This window comes from Homo sapiens, chromosome 4 (genome assembly GCF_000001405.40).
Source record: "Homo sapiens chromosome 4, GRCh38.p14 Primary Assembly".
In the NCBI taxonomy this organism is placed as follows: Eukaryota; Metazoa; Chordata; class Mammalia; order Primates; family Hominidae; genus Homo; species Homo sapiens.
In genome coordinates this window covers 177320527-177346124 of record NC_000004.12, presented here as the reverse complement: position 1 = coordinate 177346124, position 25598 = coordinate 177320527, and the positions used below count along the sequence as shown (strand labels likewise).

At 36.1% G+C, this 25598-nt stretch overlaps 1 protein-coding gene and 1 long non-coding RNA gene across 5 annotated transcripts in view; one reads left to right on the top strand and one right to left on the bottom strand.

The window, feature by feature from the left end:
- The window catches only part of LOC105377558 (uncharacterized), a 38644-nt gene extending 35230 nt beyond the window's left edge, over positions 1–3414 (top strand). For all 3 annotated transcript variants that reach the window (XR_007058384.1, XR_001741926.2, XR_007058383.1), the window contains one exon: positions 2407–3414. This is a non-coding gene — a long non-coding RNA (uncharacterized LOC105377558). The remainder of the gene's footprint in view (positions 1–2406) is intronic.
- Positions 1–25598, bottom strand: part of NEIL3 (nei like DNA glycosylase 3) — a 61395-nt gene that overhangs the window by 25144 nt on the left and 10653 nt on the right. For both annotated transcript variants that reach the window (XM_047415894.1, NM_018248.3), the window contains exons 2-6: positions 23545–23666; positions 10303–10437; positions 9804–10017; positions 6268–6342; positions 4483–4649 (exon numbers count right to left, since the gene is read on the bottom strand). In XM_047415894.1, coding sequence (XP_047271850.1) covers positions 4483–4649; positions 6268–6342; positions 9804–10017; positions 10303–10437; positions 23545–23666 — 713 coding nt within the window. The remainder of the gene's footprint in view (positions 1–4482; positions 4650–6267; positions 6343–9803; positions 10018–10302; positions 10438–23544; positions 23667–25598) is intronic.

Below are 25598 nucleotides of genomic sequence, written 5' to 3'. Positions count from 1 at the left end.
TGGGAAATAGGTGATTTTCAAGAGAGCAGTTGTAATAGATATGTAGGGGCAAAATTTGTTCATTAAGCCTATATTTATTGAATATTTGTAGATAACTATATTCCAGTGGGAGGAGATCTATTTAAGAAAAAACTTGGCTGGTGTGGTGGTTCATGCCTGTAATCCTGTCACTTTGGGAGGTCGAGGTGGATGGATCACCTGAGGTAAGGAGTTCCAGACCAGCCTGGCCAACATAGTGAAACCCCATCTCTACTGAAAATACAAAAAATTAGCCAGGTGTGGTAGCATGCACCTGTGATTCCAGCTACCTGGGAGGCCGAGGTAGGAGAATCATTTGAACCTAGGAAGTGGAAGTTGTAGTGAGCTGAGATCGTGCCACTGCACTCCGGCCTGGGTGATAGATTGAGACTCTGTCTCAAGAAAAAAAAAAAAAAAAAAAAAAAAAGCCAGGCGTGGTGGCTCATGCCTGTAATCCCAGCACTTTGGGAGGCCGAGGCGGGTGGATCACGAGGCCAAGAGATCGAGACCATCCTGGCCAACATGGGAAACGCCATCTCTACGTACACATATGTAACATCTCATGTATACATATGTAACAAACCTGCACATTGTGCACATGTACCCTAAAACTTAAAGTATAATAATAATAAAAAAAAAAAAGAGTTGGTTTGCAGACAGCACTAAATTCTCATTGACTGGCAACCAACTACAGCCACATTTCCAAACTAGATGGTTTTTAGAGACCTGAATATGTGCTCCTGAAGGAACAAAATATCCTGTGTGCAGCATTCCAAATGTTCTCCCTGTATACTTTCCCATGTGTTGTTTCGTCTTTCAGAAAATCCTTTTCCTACCTCTTGTCTTTGATGAATTCCTATTTCTTTCTATACTAAGCTCAAAGACTGCCTCTTTCAGAAAGACTTCCTTGTCCTTCCCAGGTAGACTTAAGTGTTTCTTCTTCCATACTTCCATTGCCAGTAGGATAAACATGTCCCTTTACAACACTTCCATCACGGTGCTTTATCTATTTACCATTTACTTCCCACATTAGCCCTTGAGCACTTTGAGAGGCTGTGTTCTATTTTGTCTTTGTATTCCAAGTACCTGGTGTATAGCAGACCCTAATAAATAAAGTAAATAACAACGAAAAAAATTTAAAGTCCCTAATGAAAGGTAAAGACTACCTCCTCTGTTTTCTTTAAAGGAAATAATACTCACATACATAAATTATATTAGCTAGCAAATAATTAAGAACCAACAATAAGCCGGACACGGTGGCTCACACCTGTAATCCCAGCACTTTGGGAGGCCAAGGCAGGCAGATCACTTGAGCTCAGGAGTTTGAGACCAGCCTGGCCCACATGGTGAAACCCCGTCTCTACTAAAAATACAAAAATTAGCTGGGCGTGGTGGTGGGTACCTGTAATCCCAGCTACTCGGGAGGCTGAAGTAGGAGAATCACTTGAACCCGGGAGGCGAAAGTTGCAGTGAGCCGAGATCACACCACTGTACTCCAGCCTGGGTGATCAGAGTGAGACTCCGAGACTCCAACTCAAATAAAAAGAAAAAAGAACCAACAATAAATAGCATCAGTATTAAAAGTGTGATATGATCAGTAGAAACTGGAAAATTGGGGGAGGACTTCATGAGTTCAGTAAGCTTTCAGAGACAGAAGAAACAGGAGGATTTAGATAATTGGTAGTGGCCTTTTCAGACTTCTTCAGCTTAACTTGAAATGACTTTACATTAAAATGAGAAAATTTAATCAACATAAAAAAGGATCAAATACTCATCCAGAAAATAAATGGGATGTACTTATTCACAGAAAAATCTAAGAACAGGGCAAATCATCTTGGTTTTCAAGCTTTTTAAAATATGTAAACATTTATTTCACAGTGTATAGTTGATTTTCCAAACAAAGTCTTAAGCTGACTGCCAGTGTAGAAAACAGAATCAGGTCGGGAGGGAAGAGGGATTACAAGGCCCAGAACATTTTCAGCACAGCCTTCCCTAACTCATAGGTCTCTTTTGGGGAACTGTGGGGTCTTTGAAATCTAGTTTCAAAAAAACCTTTGACATTGACAACTATTTATGTGATAAATAACATATTTATAATTTTTTAATCTCAAAGATATCAATTCATAGAAAACCAATACAGAACATTAATCATTTATTTAGTAGACAAATATATATTGAAGATCTTCTATCTGCCAGCTACTGTGTTCAACGCAGTATCTAGTTACTTGGTCAAATAAATGTATACCTATATTATAAAAAAGTTCCTGTTCATAAAAAACTATGAAAGTTCTTGTTCATAAAAAAAAATTATGAATGTTCATAAAAAATTTAAAAACCATTAAGTGTGTATTATATATATATATATAAAATTATCTAAATGTATTTCAGATGTCTATGATAGTAACACGGGGTGAAGCGGCTGAGTGGAAGAAGATATAGAGTGCTGTAGAGAAAAGTATTGGAGAACAAGAAGAGTGATGCAGAAAATGAAACGCAGGGACACAAAGAAAAAGCACGCAGTTCTGGACATATTTATGAAGACTTAAGCTGGGACTTCCTCTGCACACCAGCTCCCTCCCCTGCCCCCAGCTCTACAGACATGACCGCACTTCCCACCTCCCGGGTTTCCCACAGCCGAGTGGTGCCCTGAGTCTCTTCCTATGTCCAATCCTATGGTTTTGTTTCCTTTGCTTTTTCTTTCCTGCCCACTTTGTAGTTATAGGTATTTGCTGAAGCTCAGACCTTGGCTCATTTCCTTTCTCATTCTTACTGAACTGAGAAGTTGGAATGCTTCAATCAACAGCACTGTGCCGACAGCCTCTCTCATCCTGGATCGCAGCCCCTAAGACATGTCTTCCTGGATATTCCAGGGTTCTTTCACATATCTAACACATACTGCATCTTCACTGCTGCATCCCAATTTTCCCAGACCCACAATGTGAAAATTTTTATTATTTGGTCCTGAAACCTTTTGCATCATCCTACCTATCAAATCTGCCACAGTCCTTGTTGACTTTTAAAAAGTTTTACTAGGGTACCACGTCCAGTGTCTTGACCCCAGGCTGGTAACCATCGCTTGCCCATTACTCTGCACCAGCTTCTTTACATGCATTTTCAGTCTCTTCGTTTTCCATGTTAACTATGCTACAATCAACTAAAAGTCCTTAATGTGCTAATTTAGGAAAGACCTTAACCATTCTCCAAACTACTAATGACCCCCACCATTTGATCCCACTCTCCCTGTAAAACTAGCTTTTATTATTCCACAACGTGGAGCCTCTGTTGGGGTTGGCCAGTATTCTCATCATCCCTCCACCATGCCATGTTTATTAATGAGTCAAGGTTTGTGGCCATGCTCCTTTTTTCCAATTAAATACTGTTTGCTTTATCGTTTAATCAAAATTCTATTTTTTAAGGTAAATTTCAAATGATACTTTTTTTAAGTCTAGTCAAGTACAGTAGGGAGAAGGGGGGAAAGAGTGGAACAAGGAGCTCCACTCAAATGACGCTTTCTTTGAGATCTTCCCAACCTTCCTGCACATAGAAACCTCTAATATCCCTGAACCCATGCAGCATTTTTTGTGCTTCATGTCATACTGGTACTACTGGCTTATAATCACATATACTGCTATGCAGCTGCTTTATACTACATAATCTTATAATCACATATACTGCTATGCAGCTGCTTTATACTACATAATCTTATAATCACATATACTGCTATGCAGCTGCTTTCTACTGCATAATCTTTCTCTTAGATTTCCCCCAAAAGGTCCTATGGCCTGTTACCAAGGTAACTGTACATTGGGGAAAAGAAAATAATCAGACTTTTCAAGGATTATTGGACACTGGCTCTGAACTGACACTAATTCCAGGAGACAAAAATATCACTGTGATCCACCACCAGTCTGGTCAGGTGATCAATGGAGTTTTAGCCCAAATACTTCTCACAGTAAGTCCTCAAACCTATCCTGCGGTTATTTCTCCAGTTCTGGAATGTATCATTGGAAGAGACATACTCAGCAACTGGCAGAACTACTACACGTGGGTTTAGTAAGTGGTCTATTATTTCACCAACTAGACATACAATCTGTAAAAAGATCTTGCTTTTGTTTTATAATATTATTTCTAAGTGAAGCAGAGACTTTTGAAGGTAGTTGCATTTTTTTCCAATTATTGACATCTCCTGGTACTCACTTTACAAACTAGGTTAAAGGTAAAGGCTAGATATTATTCCCTGAGCCAGAGATTTTCCACCTAAATTCAGAACTGGTCCATAAATCATCTTTGGCTCCCTCAGGTTCTTTGGTGACATTATTTACTATTTCCTTTCAAGGACTAAAATACTTTTGAGTCACGTTCTCTTCTGAATAGCCTGACAGTTATTCAGTTATATTCTCAGATTATTAGCCTTTTAGTTAGATGGTTAGGGCAAATGGTATCCCTTTAAATTCAATATCTTACCATATGTCAACATGTTGAGGATTTTCTTTTTGACAGTGAGGACAGAAATATGTCATTCTGTTATTGTCCCCAAAGCGGCACACAGTTATTCTGCAGTGGCACTGACCACAATTAGGACGCTTGTAAACCTTATAGTGTTTAGAGAGAGCAAGTCCTGCTTTACGGCACTAAAAAAAAAAAAAACCAAAAAATTCTGTTATCCACAAAACAGTGCTGCCAAGGAGCCAAAGACACATTCTCGAAAGTCACCTCTGAAAATCATCTGCTAAAAATTTACATATGTTTGTACATATGTCAATATAATCTTTTCTTTCATCAGAGAAAAAGGTATTGACAAGATTTGGTAATATTTGTCAAATAAAATTTGTGTGAAATAAGTCATTATTTAATGACATTAGTATTCAAAATTGCTCTTTGCATAGCTTTATCCTCTTATCTAAATGACATGTAAAAGTTCTATATTTAAAAATGTCTTTTACACTTTTAAGGCTTTTTAAATTAACCATAATTATATAGTTAAAAGAAAAAGGCTAGATTAGCTTGAAATCTGATTATTTTTAGAAGACTGAAACTGCTCACTCAGTTTCAACAACCAAAAAACTTAATTCTAGGGGACAAAATTTAATAAGAGCATTTTCTTTGTTGACCTGAAAAAGGATTTTTTTTTCCTTTTTAACCTTAGAGATTCATTAATAAAAAAAGAAAGAAAGAAAATAAACATTCAAATACCATCCTAGCAGAGAATATATTCCATTTTGGTATAAATTCTACTTCAAAAGATATTTTGATATATTTGGTCAGTTTTATTCCACTCACAAATATTTAAGGCTCCTACAAAGAAAATATCTTGAGTTTCCATCAGCACTGTGAAAATTTAAAAGCCCAGAAATATGGCTCACCACGTATGAGCTGAAAATTACACAATTTATATTAATTTAAGGAAAGTATTGAAAGACCCAATTTAATCTGGGTGGAAATGGGCAGTTTTCTATGGTCATCTTTTTCTGGAGGAAGAAGTAAGCAAATGCAATTTAAAAATAGCCATAGTTACTCAAGACCGATCTGCAGAGCAAGAGGTTCATTCACATTTTAGGCCAATTAATAAAGAATACTACAATACCTGACTTTCTGAACATAGTAAAAATGAAAATTTTGGATACAGAAAATGGACTGTGAAGAAAGAAAATACATATTTGCATTACTTTGTTTAAAAGATGTGTTTATTGAATTCTATATATGCATATAGTATATAACTTTCCACATTTACAAGTCAGCAAGTCCTTCCTTCTCAAAACTGTGGTAGACAGAGAAACATTATTATCCCATTTTACAGATGAAGAAACTAAACTTAAATAAAGTTATCCAAAGAATCTAAACCACACAGATAGTAGTAAGTGGCAAAGCTTGATTGAACCAAGGTCTATAGTCAGTGGCAAAGCCTGATGGAACTAAGGTTATCTGAAAGTGTTACTGTAGGTCAGCCTCTCTAGACTTTCTATATTTTATGTATCCAAAAATAGAAAAAGAGTCTGTGAAATGCCAACATGGCTGCTCCTAACTTGGTATAAAGATAATTGAATATGGTTATAGTTAGACGAGTTTGAACTGACCTATGACCTAGAATTTCAAGATGTTAATTACACCCACATAATGTCACTCTCCCTTAATGTACCTCCATGCTCTTTCCACTAGATGGCTATATACAGCTTTCACATTTTTTGGTGCACTCCAAAAGGAAACCACTGACATTTTACATTTTACACAGTTGAAAAATTTTGCTCTTACCCTGTAAAAGAGAATGCTGAAATCACGTATCATTTTCATGAGGTGATGGATCTGTTCATCTGTTAATTGACAAACCTTGAAGTGGAAAAAACAGCAGAGCCTAGTTTCATGACTTGCTCATTACTGTAAGAAATAATACGCCTTGCCAATTCTGTGAAAGAGAACTGTAAATAGATTTTGAATACAGCTGACCTTTGAACAACATGGGTTTGAACTGGGAGGGTCCACTTATACGCAGATTTTTTTCTGCCTCTGCCATCCCTGAGACAGCAAGACCAACCCCTCCTCTTCCTCCTCAATCTATTCAATGTAATGATGATGAGGAGCAATAACTTTATGATGACCGACTTCCACTTAATGAGTAGTAAATATAATCCTTATGATATTCTTCTGTTTTTTTAGAGACAGGGTCTCACTCTATTGCCCAGGCTGGAGTGCAGCAGCATCATCATAGCTCACTGCAGCTTCAAACTCCTGGGCTCAGCCATCCTTCCGCCTCAGCCTCCCAGGTAGCTGGGATTACAGGCGCAGACCATCACACCTGGCTCTTACCATATTCTTAATAACAATTTCTTTTCTCAAGCTTACTTTATTGTAATAATACATATGTAACACATAAAACATACAGAATATGTGTGAACTATGTTATCAGTAAGGCTTCTGATCAACAGTAGGCTATTAGTAGTTACGTTTTTGAAGAGTCAAAAATTGTATATAGATTTTCAATGGGAGGGGTTAGCACCCCAATTCCTGTGTTGTTCAAGAGTCAATCGTATATGAATATCTTCTAGAGCTCTATTTCTTACGGATCTATTTAGTACCATTAACAGTAGTTATATTTTGAACTGATAATATTACTGACAAAATATGATTCCTATTTATACATTTTAATTGTAAATTCAAGCATTTATTGAATATTTATTCTGTATTAGACATCTTCAAAGTCTCAGCATTGTCTATCAGACACCTTGAGAAGTCTTGCTGGACTCAAAAAAAAAAATTACCAAGAACAATATAAAACAGAAAGAAGGGAAGGGAAAATAGGCACAGGAGTAGATGACCACCAAGGTCACTATCGAGCTTTAGAAAAGATATGCATTTCTATACATGCATTAATATCAAAGTACTTATTAACACATGGAAGAGCTCAGACACAGACCTTACTGAAGAATTTTTTTCTGACACAGCCTAACATAAATCTCAGTGTTACCCTTGCAGAATTATTATTTGGCACATGTGCCGTCAATGGTAATCCCAAAAGAAACCCTCTGATGCCTCATGCTTGTTGCCTGTGTGTGAATATCTATATGTACAGCTGACCCTTCAACGACACAGGTTTGAACTGAGCAGGTCCACGTACATGTAGATTTTTTTCAATCAAACATGAATGAAAAATATAGTATTTGTGAGATGTGAAGCCTGCATGTGTGTAGGGCTGACTTTTTGTGTAGCAGTGTCCCTAGGGCCAACTGCAGGACTTCAGTATGTATGGACTTGGTATAGGCAGGAGTACTGCAACTGATCCCCTGTGTATACTGAGGGAAGCTGCATATAAACAGACACATACATGTACAAAGAAAATCACTTATCAGTGACTATAGAAGTGAAAATCTAATCAACATAGTCATCCTGAAAGTATTATACATATTCAATTGTTCACTTAAACTTTAAAACTTACATACATCCAAAATATTTATTACTTTCCAAATCTTACATACTATATTAAGTCACATCTTGAAAAGTTAAACTGTACTTTTTCAGTAATTGTGCACGTGCTTTTAAGAAGCTAAGAGCTAAATTTCAGAAATGTGTGTGTGTGTGTGTGTGTGTGTGAGAGAGAGAGACAGAGTCTCGCTCTGTTGCCAGACTGCAGTGCAGTGGCGTGATCTCTGCTCACTGCAACCTCCGCCTCCCGGGCTTAAGCGATTGTCCTGCCTCAGCCTCTCCAGTAGCTGGGACTACAGGCATGTGCCACTACGCCCACCTCATTTTTGTGTTTTTAGTAGAGACAGGGTTTCACCATGTTGGCCAGGATGGTTTCACCACGTTGGCCAGGATGGTCTCACCTCTTGACCTCGTGATCTGCCCGCGTCAGCCTCCCAAAGTGCTGGGATTACAGGCATGAACCACCGTGCCTGGCCAATGTCATTAATTTTTAAACCCCCAGGCATTATGGGTAAATGATCATTTCCTAGATGGATGGATGGCTGGATGCAGAGATAAAAAGTAAATTCTCAGTGCATCACAGATAACAACAATACCCTGGGTTCTCTTTTTTTCAAAAACAACTTTCGTAGAGGTCTAAGTGATTTTTAAAAAGCTCACTCTTGTTAAAGTTCTGTTTCATTATTTCCATACTGAACTCACGTGTTCCAAGTATCAAAAAGCAGAATCTAATCTAGACCTATCATTAACTGGCTTCTTTTAAAGCTTCATTCCTACTGATTTGGGTATTACTAAAACTATCTAGTAAGTATCTACACAAAGTAAAAAAATAACCTGGGTTTATGTAAAAGATAATTTAGTTAATAGAGTCAATTATGTAAAAAATAATTCAGCTAAAAGAGCTAAAAATTAATTTAGTTAGTGGCAACAGGTCTTGATAAAAGCCCTAATGTAGAGGTCTTCCCTAGAAACTAAAATGTATGTATTCTACCTGGGTTAGGGTTCTCACCTCTCTTACCCTCTTAGAACATTGCTATATTCATCACCATTCCCTTTTCTACAATTTTAACCTCTGCCCTTTAACCACTTTTTTTTTTTTGCAACATATAAATAAGTTCAAGTCTCTGCAGTTGTAGAACAAGAAAAAAAATAAAATAACCAACTCATGTCTTGCCCTGGAATCCCCTCTAGCAAGCCAATATTTTCCCTTCACTCCGGCCTATGTGAACAAGGGCTCTACATTTTGCTTTCATTTCCTCACTGATCACTTATTCCTTGGTCCCTGCTGCCTGCCTTCCATTGCTATCCTTCCACAACAGCAGCTTCTAATGTCACCAACAGCTGTAATCAGGAATACACAAGCGTGTGCAGAACATGTACTTAATATGCCAGAGAGAGAAAATAAGTTGTGAGTTAGTTCATTCACATATTCCACAAATATTAATATCTAATGCCTACCATACACCACAGGTCACGTTCTAGATGTTGGGATACTTCAGTGAACAAAAGCCTTGTTTCCTTTTGAGACTGTGTTCTAGCAGAAGGAGACAGCTTTTAAACAATCAGTATAATAAGTAAATATGTTATGTTTGAAAGGGATACCTGGTATGGAGAGAACAAAAAGCAGGGCAAGTTAAGGAAGACTGATAGAGTGAAATGTGGAGTGGGAGGGTGTGCACAAGGCAACTGTAAGTGCAAGTGCGGTGGTAGGAGCCGGCTGCACTGAGAAATTGACCTGGGTAGAAATGGGAAGCGGGACACCTGAAGTCTGATGAGACTGTGTTACTGAAATGCAGAGTTAAGGCTTCCACGTTGGTTCCTTCACAGTACCGAAAAATCAACAGATAATTAAAAAAATACTTAAAACTTACTTTAACAGCTGGGTGGAGACCACTGTCAAAGAGAGCTTCATTTTTGATGATGTTCCCTACTCCAGGCAATACGTTCTGATCCATTAGCACATCACCTAGCATCCGGCCTTTCTGTTTTTTAACTTCACTTTCTGCTCTCAAGAAACTAAATTCAGGTGAACATACATCTAATTCTTTCATCATTCTTATTCTCTGTTGGCTTTCCATTGAGTTTCTATAGAAAGGAATATAAAACACATTAATCATAAGTCTGGTTATAATTTCACAAAGTGTCTTTTAAAATGAGCTTTGCTATAAGCACTTTATGTTAATCAGGGTATAAGAGTTACATATGCAAACAACAAAGACCTTACAAATTATATTATCTGAAGGCTTCTTTAAAATGAGGTTTCATCAATTACAAACTCTTTATTTATTTGTTTCTTTAGTTACACGTGTGACATCCCAAACCAAGCTCTGCAGTATTGCAGCGTAAGTACTTTTATTTAATTTTTTTTACCTGAGTTCTACTGATGAGTCAAAGAAACAAATCAAATCTTTGGTGAGCTGCACTTCCAAAACAGGAGAAGCTCCATTTTTATATTTATACTCAAGTGGATTAATCATGATGAAGCCTTTCATTCCGAAATGAATCCTGAAACAAAATCAAACCATTTTTGAGTGGCAGAAAGTATATCATTTATCAAGCTTTTTTCCTGTACTATCATTTTTTTTTTGGATTATAAGCAAACAAATGTTAGTCAGGATAGACACTTTTAAAGGGCAGAAACCAGTGGTAAGATTATTATATATTTTTCTCTCATGACTTTGTATCCTTATAAAGATAGAAGACATGACAATCAGTTTTTCAACTCAAAAGTAAAATAACTTCTCAAAGAAATAATATGGTACCAACAATAAGCCCAAAAAAATACACCCCTGCTCCTCTTTTCTTGTCAGATGAAGTATCTTTTATTCATGGAACAGTCTAGCATCTCTTGGCATTTTCTCAGATTCAAAGGCTTGGGATGAGATAAGGCTAAGTTTAAGTTGCCTATAGTTTGTGTTTTCATAAATTCTACAAAGCCACTAATATTCAAATTCCTTATTTCTAACCACAATGGATTGGAAATAATTACCTATTGCAAAATAATATCTATGGTTTAAGATGCTCTTTTCCCCCCTTGTTTTGCACTAGGCAATGAAACAATTTTTTTTATTTTTGCAAAATCTTACGTATCAAAAAAAAAGAGAGAACAAGTCAAAATGCTATTGTCCTCAATTCTTTTCGTTTTCTTTTACCTCTATATGTATTGGGAAGAGGAGATTTATAAATATTTACGGTTAACTTGAAAGCCACAAGGCAGCGATGAAAAATTCGTAACCTTTCAGATTTTATAGGATTGATTAGCATGTCCAGTTTTTAAAAAAAGTAGTTCTGTAAGACCTCTGATGATGAAGATCAAAAATGATTCTCAAGATGAAATACTGTGATCCGCCTTTCAAATCCTTCTCCTCATAGCTTTGTTGAGTTCATAAATATGGCTCTTTTGGCAGCGAATGCTACTGCTCTGTGCTTCTAATTGCGGAGCACCATGTTATAGTATTGTACAAGGTTAACCAGTCTAACTTTAAAAATGTGGGTTTTAAACTCTGTGTGCCCTACTATCAATCATAAATGCATTTTACATGCCCCATAGTTCTTGACAGGAAAAATGTGTGCCTGTAAGTACTCCATAATTTAACTTATGGAAGTTCAACCCCAGTGAAAGGTGTACAACTGTCATGCCCAGAAGCCATCATATCTAAAATCTTTTCAGCTGCATGGCTCATAAAGTGGATTCTAAATCACTTTCTATAATGAAACCACATCCACATAAAAAATCTCAAAGGTTAAGACCCAATTCAAATGCAGGAGTAGCCCCAGCAAGAACCTTAGATCAAATAAGTATGGCTCTGACTTATAAATCAATTCATTTTTAGGAAAAAAGTGCATAAAATGTTTTTTTAAATTTTTATTTATTTTGTTTTATTAAATAGATATTATAATTGAGCCCCAATAAACCAACACATCTCGTGGGTTTATTACTAAGTACCTTTGATCTTAAACTATAAAAAATGTATCAGTATCATGAAAATATTTGAGGCACAGTAAACATCTATACTGCGACAACAATTGATACTGATTTTTTTTTTTTTTAAACCAGGACATAGGCCCATATTACATAAAGAAAAGACATTTTTAGGGTTTCATTTGCTTTTCAGGATTCCTCATAATTAATTAGTTTAGGAAACTTTTATCAGATCCTTATTTCTATCTCAAGCTCCTTCTACCAACCCAAAAGGTTACCCAAGACAATTCACTCTGCATAATAGAAGTCTACCTGCCAACCACAGTTGCCTGGTCCAAGGGTGGGCATTAACCTGTTCAGGCTTAACCTGAACAGGTCTCTGTCGTTTTCTCAGATCCTGTGCCTTTGATACAGTTGATTCAGAAATGGACACCTGTCCCAAGCTAGATCCATCAGTATCCAAGCTGGGTTCGTCAATTTTTCTGATGAATTTAAAGACGTAGGACCCAAGGAGATCCTGCTAGCATTAAGAGATCTCATATGAGAGCTGTCTATGGGAATGATTCCCGATGTGAGCACCAGCAAAGCAAAGGAAGGTCTCCCTGCAAAGAGGAAGACTATAGAAGATTTCAGTGAGGAGCAGAGTGAAGAAATGAAGAGGAATCCTAACAGCTTTTAGTCTTTGCTTGCTTTAGTTCTCCTTGAAGCCTGCCTGTATTCTCTTCAGGTTTTGTAAGATACTTCATACACTTTTTTAAATTTTAAAGAAGTTTTTGGTGCCAAAGTCAACAAAAGATAATAAATAATTATTGAACCTGCTTGAGTTGGGCCTCTGTCACTTGCAACCAAGTTCTAATATGAAAATGTGCCCAAACTAAAAATTCAATTAACAGTAAGAAAATTCCTCTCATTAGAAATATCTTCCTAAAGAAACTAGTAAATAAGCCCTGATCCTGTTTTAAGAATCAGCCGTATTCTCCAAGCTATCACTGTCAGAATAATCTGAACATCCTTAAGCAAGCACAAATAGCATAAACAAAGCAGTACTGTCACAGTTTCACATTAATGACAACTACATTTTGCAAATAAGGCAACTGCCTATAAAAATTTTCAAGTGGTCAGAAGTGTCCTAAGGGTAATAAAGAGTGGAAAATGTAGAATATAATAGTTGTAAAACCTATGCTGGGAATTAAAAAAAAAAGAATGTAAAAAGATATGGTTTTAACAATGCTAAAAATAAAAAATAGGAGTTCTGCTACTACTTAGGATGCAGAAGGCTGAAAGTGAACATAGCTACCGCTCCAACAAGGAGAAAAAAAATCACGTTATCTACAAAATCATACATTTTCTTAAGCCCATCAGAGACATGAGATTGCAACGCAACCAGGTAAGCTAAATTCCAAAATGTGACAAGCCCCGCCATGGAAAGTAAAGTCAGAATACACAAATTGTTTCACCTGTGGCAGAGCACAAGAGGAAGAGAAGGCTACTATAAAAATGGGAAAGCAGAAAACTGCAAAATTTTCAACAAACTTTTACATACTGAATGTGGGCTGGTGTAACAGTTTAGAATCCCCGGAGCCCCAGACACAAGGAGAATACACACTCGTGGGCCCATGTGAAAGATGTGAGTGACAGCAAGAGACCTGAAAGAGCTGCTCTTGGTGGCATGACACCTGTCTTCATGAAACTCTGTCTGCTTCTTGAACACTTCTTTGAGATGAAGTCCAAGTCTTAAAAAGTCTTTAAGCTGCTGGGGCCAAGGGAGAGGTAGAAACAAAGGTCATATCTGTCCTTGAGGGAGGAACAGGAAACTTCCTCTGCCCAAACAATATGTCTTATACTGAATAACAACCATAAGCAGTCTGCCACAGGACAGCAGCGGAAACCCTTCGGCCACCCAGCCCAAGCAAAGGTACCCTGGCCTGTTGAAGGTGAGGTAGAAGCAAAAGCCATCTGTCCCTAGAGTTGAAACAGAAAATCGGCTTTGGCACAAAATACTGTGATGATACAAAGAGAAATCTGCTTCCACCAGAAAAGAGGTAGGAAGCTCTCTGACCCAAGTACACCCACAGGTGCAAGGCAGAGTTTGGCTGCCATAGGAGGGCAAGGGACAGCAACCCTAAGAAAACTGCGACCTTGGGTTCTACATACACAAAGGCCTGCCCAAGTTCCAGGCTAATCCAGAAGTAAATATCCCCACTATCCCCATCATAAGCCTCCCACTGAGTCACAAGCGACAGCAGTCTACATGGTGGAGAGGTAAGAACATGGAGAGACTTTCTCTGTGACATGAATATGCAAGATGTGCTGAAAGCTGAGAGTCGAGCAGCAACACAGAGAAACCATCCACTGCCAAACCAGACCACACACAAGGCATAAAGTAGCAGTAGCAGCTGGAGTTTTGAAGTTGTTGGTGCACTGAAGCCAACCCAAACAAAGCAAAACTCAAACGAAGGTCAACTACTTTACTAGACTCACTCAATCCCTGACACTAATGACTGACAGAAGAGGCATGACTGTTTCTGAGCTTAAATATTATTTAGCTCTTATATGTCTATACATGGTGTCTGGGATTTAGCTTTTTGTCTTCTATAGACAATGTCTAGGATTCAAAAAAATGATAAGACACATATATACACACAAAGATTAAAAAAGTATCAAGAGATAAATATATCAAGAGATAAAGCAGTCAACAGAGCCAGACCCAAAGATGCACCAGATGTCATATCTATGAGACAGGTGATTTAAAAGTAATGTTAAATTAATTTTAAACTTAAAATATTGATTCTTAATCAAATTTTATATTATATATTAGTTATTAATATGTTAATGATTTAACATATGTAAGGATCTAGTATAAAGGCACATGAACAGGTGTGATATTTCAGCAGAGAAACCAAAATACATGATAGCAGGGAGAAGACATTTCTTCAATGAGCAGACCAGCAGACCGCACAGAGCAGAGGAAAGAATAAGTGAACCTGAATATAGATTAATAGAAATTATCCAAACCTAAGAAAGAGAAAAAAGGATGAAAAAGATAAAACAGAGCATGTTCCTTAAATATGCCTGGGGTTTTCTTTCTTGAGAAGTTTTAAACTATCAACTCAACTTATTTAAAACATAGAAAATAACTCATATTTTTACTTTAGTTCTAGAGTATGTTTTGATAATTTGTGTCTTTCAAGGAATCTGTCCATTTATTTTAGTTGTTGAATTCATCGACATAAATTTGTTAGGTAATATATAGTGTCCTATTTCTATTCAAATAACAACTTGAGGATCTGCAGTAATGTTCCCTTTGTCATTCCTCATAGTGTTTATATGTGAGCTGTATTGTCCAATATGGCAGCCACTACCCACATGTGGCAAGTGAGCACTGGAAATGTTATTAGTTCAAATTAATGTGTACTCTAATTATAAAATACACAGTAGATTTTGAAGACTTAGTATAAAAAAAGTTACATAGCTTATCAATAATTGCTTATATTGTTTATATGTTGAAATATTTTGTATAGGTTAATAAAATACATTATTAAAATTGATTTCTTTTTGCTTTGGTTAATGCAGCTATTGGAAGATTTTAAATTATATATATGTCTCCCATGTTTATATTGGACTGCATTGAGCTAAAAGTTTATCATTTTTATTACATTTTTCAAAGAACCAATTTTTGGTGTCATTCATTTTTATTATGCTTTTCAAAGGACCAATTATTTGCTTCATTGATTTTTTTTCTCTATTGCTTTCATTTTTAAATTCCATTGATTTCTGTTCTTATCTTCATTATTTCCGTCCTTCTGTCTGTTTTGGGTTTAATTAGCTCTTATTCTTCTAGTTTTTTATATGGAAGCTTAAATCTTAGAGAATTTTATTCATTTATAAAAAACATTTAATGCCAGAACATTTCCTCAAGCATTGCTTTAGCTGTCTCCTACAAATTTTGATCTGGCGTTTTCATTTTCATTCAGTTCAAAATATGTTCTAAGTTCCTTTGTGATTTATTTGACAGGTGAGTTTAGAAGCACATTGATTTCCAAATACTTTAAATTTTTCAGCTGGGCGCAGTGGCTCACGCCTGTAATCCCAGCACTTTGGGAGGCCAAGGCGGGTAGATGACCTGAGGTCAGGAGTTTGAGACCAGCCTGGGCAACGTGGTGAAACGCCGTCTCCACTAAAAATATAAAAATTAGCCAGGCATGGTAGCAGGCGTCTGTAATCCCAGCTACTCAAGAAGCTGAGGCAGGAGAATCACTTGAACCCGGGAGGTAGAGGCTGCAATGAGCAGAGATCCCTCCACTGTACTCCAGTCTGGGTGACAGAGCAAGACTCCATTTGAAAAAGAAAAAAAAAAAAGATTTTTCTAGGTATCTCAATAATTTCTAGTTTAATTCTGTTGTAGTCAGAGAGGATTCTTCCATGATATCAATACTTTTAAATTTGTTAAGACTCATTTTGCTGTCCATAATCTGGTCAATCTTGCTAAGTGTTCCACATGCACTTGAAAAGCATGTGTTGTTGGGTGGAATGTTCTCTACTTGTCAATTAGGTCAAGGTGGTTGATAGTGTTGCTCAGGTCTTTTATCCTTGCTGATTTTTGCCCACTTGTTCTATCAGTTACTGACAAGAGAGTGTTGAATTATTCAACAATATTAGTTTCTCTTTGCCCTTTCCATTCTAGCAGTTCTTGCTTTACATCTTTTGAATTTCTATTAGGATTACTACATTTTCTTGATGAATTAACCCCTTAATCTTTTTTTAATGTCCTTCTTTACCCTCAGTAATATTCCTTGATCTGAAATCTACTTTGATTTTATTCTAGCTACTCCAGCTTTCTTTTGATAAGTGTTTCCATAGTATTTCTGTTTCCATCCTTTTATTTTAACCTGCATCATTATATTTTAAGTGGTTTTCTTATAGGCACATTATAGTTGGGTCTTGTGTTTTTATTCAATTAATTTCTGCCAAATAATTGGGATGGTTAGATTATTTATATTTAATGTGATTATTTTTATGCTTTGATTTAAATATACTGTATTACTATTGTTTTCTATTTGTTCCATCTGTTCTTTGTTCATCTTTTAATGCATTCTTTTGGATTGAGCATTTTTAAAACTTCTATTTTATCTCCATAGCAGCTTATTACTTTTACCACTTTTTGAATTTTTTTAAGTAGTTGCTCTAGGTTTTATAATACACATCTTACACTGTGATACAAGTTATCTCAGTGATATATTCAAACGATATGCAAATCTTCAAATGATATGCAAAACGTATATTACTGAGATACAAGTTATCTCAGTGATATCTTCAAATGATATGCATATCTTCAAATGATATGCAAAACGTATATTGCAACAACATTAGTGTACCATCATTTTCCTATCTCATTTGTACTATTGTTGCAATGCATTTTACTCTGACATATGTTATAAAGTCCACAATAAATTGTTATTATGCTTGCTTTAGATATAGAACATAACAGAAAAACATCTTTTATATTTACTTCCAAGTTTCCCATTCCCAGTTTTTTCTTTCTGTAGTTCAGATTTCTGTCTGTTATTATATCCCTTATGCTGGACAGACTTTAACTTTTCTTGCACTGCAGGTCTCCTGCTACTACATTCTCTTAGCTTCTTTTTTTCGAAAAAGTCTTTATTATACCTTCATTTTTAATAGATATATTAGATGGGTTTAGAATTCTGAGTTGAGAGGTTTTTCTTTCAGCAAACGTTGCTCTGTTGTCTTCTGTCTTACATAATTTCTGTAAATGTATTTCTTAGCTTTGTTCCTTTGTATTAATATGCAATGTTTCTTTTTCTCTGCTTCCAGCACTTTCTCTTCATCTTTGGTTTTTAGCACATTGGCTAGGTACGTGTGAGGGACATTTGGTTTGGTTTGAGGCTCTTTTAGCTTCTTGGATCTGTGGTTTGTTAAGAAAATTCTTGGCCATTTAAATCCAAAGATGTCTTCTGTTCTGTTCTTTCTTTCTTCTAGGATGACAGTTACAAGAATGTTAGATTATGTCACCTTGTTCCATAGCTTTGTTAATCCTGCACAATTCTTGGCCATTACTTCTTTTAAAAATGTCTTCTGTTTTGTTTTTTTCTCTTTCCTTTCTGGAACTCCAAATACATCAGACCAGTTGATGTTATACCAATAACAAATCTACACAAATGTTTCTGGAATATCAGATGAAACTCAGTTGGAGGCCATCATTACCCTAATACCAAAATTAGACAAAGGCAGTAACAGAAAAATAACACCATAGTGCAATATCTCTTATGAAGACACAAGCAAAAGTCCTCAATAAAATATTAACTAATCGAATCCAGAAACATATAGAAAGGACAATCCATCATGACAAAGTGGAGTATATTCCAGGAATGCAAGGCTCATTCAAAATTTAAAAATCAATCAATATAGAATTCCACACATAAACAAATGAAGTAAGAAAGGCAATATGATGATCTCAATAGATGCAGAAAAAATACTTGAAAAATTCAACAAATTAGAAATAAAAGGGAAATTTTTTGATTTAATAAAAGAAAATAAAGCTAATATCACAGACAACAAGGCAAACTTATTTGCTCTCACCACTACTACTCAACATCATGCTGGGGGTCCTGGCCAGTGCAATAAAACAAGAAAAAGAAATAAAAGGCATATAGGGTGTGGGGGACAAGGAGAGGGAGAGCATTAGGACAAACACTTAATGCATGCGAGGCTTAAAACCTAGATGACAGGTTGATAGGTGCAGCAAACCACCATGGCACATGTACACCTATGTAACAAACCTGCATGTTCTGCACATGTATCCTAGAACTTGAAGTAAATTTTTTTTAAAAAAGTCATATAGATCAGAAAGGAAAAAATAAAACTGCTTTAATTCACAGATGATATGATTATCTACATAGAAAATACTAAAAGTATACAAGAAAAAGCGACTAGAACTATAACGAGTTTAGCAAGTGTATTAGTCTGTTTTTACACTGCTGTAAAGAACTTCCCTGAGACTGGATAATTTATAAAGGAAAGAGGCTTAATTGACTCGCAGTTCCACATGGTTTGGGAGGTCTCAGGAAACTTACAATCATGGTGGAAGGTGAAAAGGAAGCAAGGACCTTCTTCAGATGGCAGCAGGAGAGAGAAGAGAAAGAGAAGGGGGAAGAGCCCCTTATAAAACCAAGAGATCTAGTGAGAACTCACTCACTATCACAAGAACAGCATGGGGGAAACAGCCCCCATGATCCAGTCGCCTCTTTCCCTTGACACAAGGGGATTACATGCCCCCCCACACCTCGACACATGGGAATTACAATTCAAGATGAAATCTGGGTGGGAACACAGAGCCAGATCATATCAGCAAGGTTGCAGGATACAAGGTCAATATACACACAAAAATTGTATTTCCATACACTGCAAATGAACAATTAGAAATTCAAATTTTAAAAAAGTACCCTTTACAATAGCTCCAAAAAAACCCACTTAGTTACAAATATAAAATATGTCTGAAGCTGAAAATTACAAAATACTGATAAAGAAATGAAGGAAGATCTAAATACATATTAATATATACTGTGTTCATGGAGTGGAAGACAATAATGTTAGCATGTGAATTATCACCTAATTGATCTATAGATCCAACACAAGGCCAATCAAAATGCCAGAAAGAACTCTGTAGAAATCAACAAGCTAAGTCTAAAATGTAGAAAGATAACTAAAACAACAAAAACAATTTTGAAAAAAAAAAAGAATAAAGTCAGACGACTGACACTACTTAATTTAAACTGACTTTAAAGCTACTTTAATTAAGACAGTGTATTATTGGTGAAAGGACAGACACAAAAAATGATAAAAGAATATCACTTTATCTGATATTCTTCTGAATGCAGAGTTCAGAAATAGACCCATACATATATGGTCAACTAATTTTCAACAAAGTTGCAAAGAAATTCAATGGAGAAAGGATAATCTCGTCAACAATGGTGCTGGAAAATACACACGCAAAAAGACAAAGTCCAGCTCCTGCCTTGTACCATATACAAAAAAGAACTCAAAATAGATCATAATCCTAAACAGAAGAGCTAACTCAATAAAACTTCCAGAAGAAAACAAACAAGGAAATGTTGATTAATTTGCATTAGGCAGATGTTTCTTAGACTGGTCACAAAACGTATGAATGAACCATGAAAAAAAAATTTGATAAATTAGGTTTCATCAAACTTAAAAGTTTTTAATCTTGAAGAGATATGGTTAAGAAAATGAAGAGAAAAGCCATAGATTGGGAGAAAATACTTGCAAAACATGTTATCTGATAAATGACTGACATCTAGAATATATACAGAATACTATAACTCAATAATACAAAAATATATCCAATAAAAAAGGAAAACATTAATAGACACATCACCCTATAAAATACACAAACAGGAAATATGCATATTGCATCAGATATCATTAGTTAGTAGGGAGAAGAAAATTAAAATCATAGTGAGATACACTGTACACCTATTAGAATAGCTGAAATTAACACAACTGACAATACCAGGTGCTGGCAAAGATGCTGAGTAACTGAAATTCTCATACTCTGCTGGTGAGAATGTAAAATGGTACCACCACTTTTAAGAACAGTTTGGCAATTCCTCTTAAAGTCAAACATATGCTTACCAAATGACTTAGAATTTCTAAGTCATTTGGTAATTTATCCAAGAGAAATGAAAATGTATGTCCACATATATATGTCATATGTATGTGAATATTCATAGCAATTTTATTCACAATATTAAAAACTTGAAACAATCCAAATGTCCATCATCTGATGAATGAATTAACAAAATATGGTATGTTCATACAATGGGAGACTACTTAGTAAAAGAAAAGAAAGTACCACTGATACTTCAAACAGTATGAATGAATCTTAAAGTATTATACAGAGTAAAAGTACACTTCTATTTCTCCTAACATGTTATATGATAGTACAGAAACTATGTTGAAGCTGTAAAACTCTTTTATAAGTAATATATGATGGATTCAATAAAGACATTTCAGCAAACTAAAAAGAATCATTATATTATCTCTTGCATAACTGGTTTGAGGTTCATACTTAAACCCCAATAAATTATAAAATCAATCATGTATAAGGCATTTCTAAAATGGCAAAGCCTCCAAAATATCTCAGATATAGTTTCTGGTCTCTGAGCACATATAACTTCAAAAGCCAGAGTCATGTAAATCACAAACTGGAAACAGAAAATGGTCTTGGAAAAATATATTTACTTATCTATCTATCTATCTATCTATCTATCTATCTATCTGTTTTTTAAATTTTAGTCCAAAATGCAACAGCTATGTCCATTTTGATTAAAATGATAGCTTCAGTGTGAGTGCAGCTGGGTGAACATGCATATAAACATTCGCACACACTATACTGGCAATGTGGCATTGTATGCATCCAAAGTTAATAAAGATTACACCTGGTAGTGGGATTGAGAATGTATTACTTTACACTTATTTTCATTATTTTTCAGTTTTCTCTACTGAGTACTTGTTACATTTGTAGCAAAAACTTCAAGTGACGTTTGTGTTGTTTTAGTTGAAGAGTTAGTGGAAAGTGTTCAGAAGTTGTACAGGTATTAATCACACATAACACAATAGTGCTCCTAAAATAAATGTGTATCAAATAATTTTTAGTATTCCTTGGCACTATCAGGAGCACTTGAATATATCACTTAGTAGGTAGAGAAGTAATCACTCTCTAATTTGTATCTTTCTGATGTGTGGATTTTTACAGGGCAGATTCTTTTAGAGGCTATGCTCGTATTCTACTTTCATTAACAAATGAATCCCAGGAGATTCAACCAATGAATCCCAGGAGATTCATGGCCCAACCTATGAGATGCACACACTTTATGACTAAACTCTGCGGGCAATTTTGCTTGTGAAAAGTTGGGTATCAAGGGAAAACTGTGAGCAACCTTTGAAAGTGTTTCCTGCTATATGCTCTATCAAATGCAGATGAGCCAGGTGGGTGGGAGGCAGAAGTCAAAAATGAAGACTACATTTCTATTGCAGGTGCACAGACCTGCAGCCTCACAAAAAGATCACATTTCTTTGAGAGAGTTATCCATTCCTCTAAGAAGCACAGGTTGGAAGTACATTTTTTGAACTTCTGTTACATTGTGAAAAGAGGGGCAAATGATTTTAGGTTCAGATTCCAACAGCAGATCTGCCATTGACCTTGAATTGTTACATCCAATAGTTGTTATGGCTGCAGGAAACTGAAAGGAAGCAAGCCACTGCATTTTTCCCACCCATATACTGACATAGGTACTCTCCAGGGAGGGCACTAGTTCAATGAGTTTGAAGAAGTGATTGTCCTTGTTTAGAACTTCATGGAACACTTACTGACAGCCGTGTGCTGAGAAATGACTTCCCCCTTATCAGTCTGGTGGAGAGCACTTGATAAAAACCCCCTCTCATCTTACAGAAATAAATCTGTACCTAACACCAGAGAATCAATAACATATCAATGTTTTCAACTATCGTGCATAGATCCCATTGTGTACTACTCTATCCAGAGCTATGAGTTTTCCATCACATCAGTCTACTACAGCAGCAGTGTAACCTGCAATATATCATTACTGCATGAACAACTAGGCATATGCTGATGTTATCAATTCCAGACTAAGCAAAACCATGAAGTGACAATGTTGTCCAAGGACAGCAGCTGCTGACAATGAAAAGAGAACACCTCAAAGGAAAAGCAATTACATAAACCCTGGATTACTCTAAATATGTGGTAGATGAGATGCAATAAAGAACAATCATATAGTATCATCTCTTTGTGACAATTATTCACCTTTGGTTAGCATGGGGTCCAGGAACAGGTCTTTTCTTTTAAGAAAAAGGTGATAACTGTGGTCAGTATCTTTAAACAGCACTAAAAACGATTTGAGGAAGCAGTATCAATTTTTACAGTTGGCAAAAGCTTAGGCTAAACTCAGAAAAGACAGAATGAGATTGGGTAGACATATTAACTCAAAGGCCGCTTTCATTTTCCTGCAAAAATTAAACATGTGATCATGCATCACAATTACATATATTTTGACTTTTTTATCATTAAGTCAACAAAGGAAATAGGTTGCTAGTCCTTCTCTGCCAGTATATTAGCCATGAATTTCCATGGGAACTGTGAAACAATGGAGAACCTGTTATTTCTCTGGAAAGTTTTTACACTCTCTAAGTAAATTTCCAAATTCCATTCAAGGCTTCAGAGAAAGCAGGAAGCCAGAAAAATATTTAAAGATCAAGTGATACATTTAAACCAAACTAGGGCCTGTCACAAATATAAAGTAACCGATGTCACTGAATACAATAAGCATTCGGTAAAAACAAGGAGAGACTTGTGGTATAGGAAGCTTGGGGACTAGCAAAACAGATGTGTTGCTCTAATACATCTTGGGAAGCCCTGTAAAATGACTGTCTTCCAAGTGATGATGACATCAGAATTTATTCTTCTGCTGTTTATTGATTTCCATGATAGAATCACAACCTCTCATATTGGAGCTCTCTTAAAAACACAGTACTTCCTATATGATTAAATGTGACACCCGGCAAACTCCATCTAGCCTTCTACGCATCTTTAAATATAGAGAGATAAGATGTATCGTACAGGCTTATCTTACCGTAAAGCTTTTGGTCCAAAGTACATAAAGAGCTCCTTCCCCAAAGTTTCCACGCCACTGTAAACATATCCATTAAACAGGCTCAAGACATTCTGGCTGGAATCATTATTCAGTGCAGCAGCCTAGTGGAAAATACATGTACACACATAAGCACACACACACACAAACTCTAAGCAAAAGCATTATTTAATTCTTAAATGTGTTTATATTACTTCACGCCCAGGTGCATTCCAATGAGAAGAATAATCTCCAACAAGTCATGTAATGTAATCGGCTGTTTACATACATTTTGTCAAATCACTATGCAGTCATTTAAAGAGAGAGAGGCCAAAAAAATTAAGTGAAAAAAAGTAATTGGTAGACAAGCAAAATAAAGTTTCTTCCAGGACCATATAGCTCTGTGCATATGAAAAGAAAGCATAGGAATACAACACGAATGTTCTAAAACTAAAAACTGGAATATAGGTTCTTCCATTTCCAGAAGTATATAGCCAAGTTCCCTGAAAGAGTGGTCAGATAAAAACAGCTACAAATGACAGATGATAAAATATGAAAACAAAATATTTTTAACTTCACCGATGAACTTTTAAGCTAGTATGAAATAATAAAAGGTCAAAAACTAAAAGCGGGAGAGAACCCTGAGAGGTAGTAGGGAGAGCTGTGAAGCCAGCATCTATCCTAAGGGCATTGATTGAAACTAAGGAATGAGAGCTTCAATTTTCACATGAAACTAAGGAATGAGAGCTTCAATTTTCACATCTTGTGAGGGTGCAGGAGATCAGAGATAAAAACCTGCGGCCCCCTGAGTAGGGGAATCTAATTTGAGACCTGTCCTATTCCAAGCACAATGTTAAGAATAAAGAAAAAATAAACTCATATTCCCTTTCCCCCATCAGCCTTGCAAAACCAAACAATATATTGTTAGAATGACAACATATAGGCAGAATCCTATAAGATATTCGAGGAAATTATAAACATGAATTAAACAGAAAACAAAAATATAAAATGTAGGTTCTTCTGTGGGAGAAGAAAAGAAAGGGCGTTTGGTTTAGATTTTAGTAATGCCCTTTTTCTTAAACTGAGCATTATGTATACTGGTGTTTCTTATGTCATTATTTTTTATTATTTATATATGTTTTATAAACATTATTTAATTTAAACTCAAAATGTAATAAAAATGTAAAACTTAAGACATGCGTAATTATTATATAAGATAAAATAGGGTACACAGAATTACATCTACGCATTAACTCAGTCTAAGGTAATATCCTCATTTACCTCTAACTTCTTTTGTGTTTTTCTCAAATGGGCCTAAGGATCCTCAGAAGATTCTGAACGAAACCTTGGTGGGCAGTGGGAGTGGGGAAATGTCAAGATATAATTATAAAACAGCTTTAGATACAGAGTCTAGAAACAAGTCACAATTTTTCCTCAATTTAGAGTGAAATGATATTGTTCAGTGATTCTCAAACTTTTGATTTTACAGACATTTGTCATTCTAAATGCTTAAGATGACATGTCCACTCTATTCTTTATTTCACTAAATTGGTCTTTGTTAAGATACAATCACAGTACTTAGCTCAAAGAGAGATAACAGGGAGATAAAGAAAAAAAAAAAAAAGAGACAGACACTATTCTTCCACTAAACCCATTCAAGGTTGAAATAGCTACAGTCAATGCCAGAATTTTCCAACTGCCTGAAGTTCAGGCGACTGGCTTTATATATCCCTCCTTTGTTTAAGAACTGGAGAATCAATCACTGGCTTAGAATGACAGATAAATTAAATGCACAGGAGTAATTAAAAATGACAGCAGGCCCGGCGCGGTGGCTCACGCCTGTAATCTCAGCACTTTGGGAGGTCGAGGCGGGCGGATCACGAGGTCAGGAGATCGAGACCACCGTGAAACCCTGTCTCTACTAAAAATACAAAAAAAATTAGCCGGGCATGGTGGCGGGCGCCTGTAGCCCCAGCTACTCGGGAGGCTGAGTCAGGAGAATGGCGTGAACCCTGGAGGTGGAGCTTGCAGTGAGCCGAGATCACGCCACTGCACAC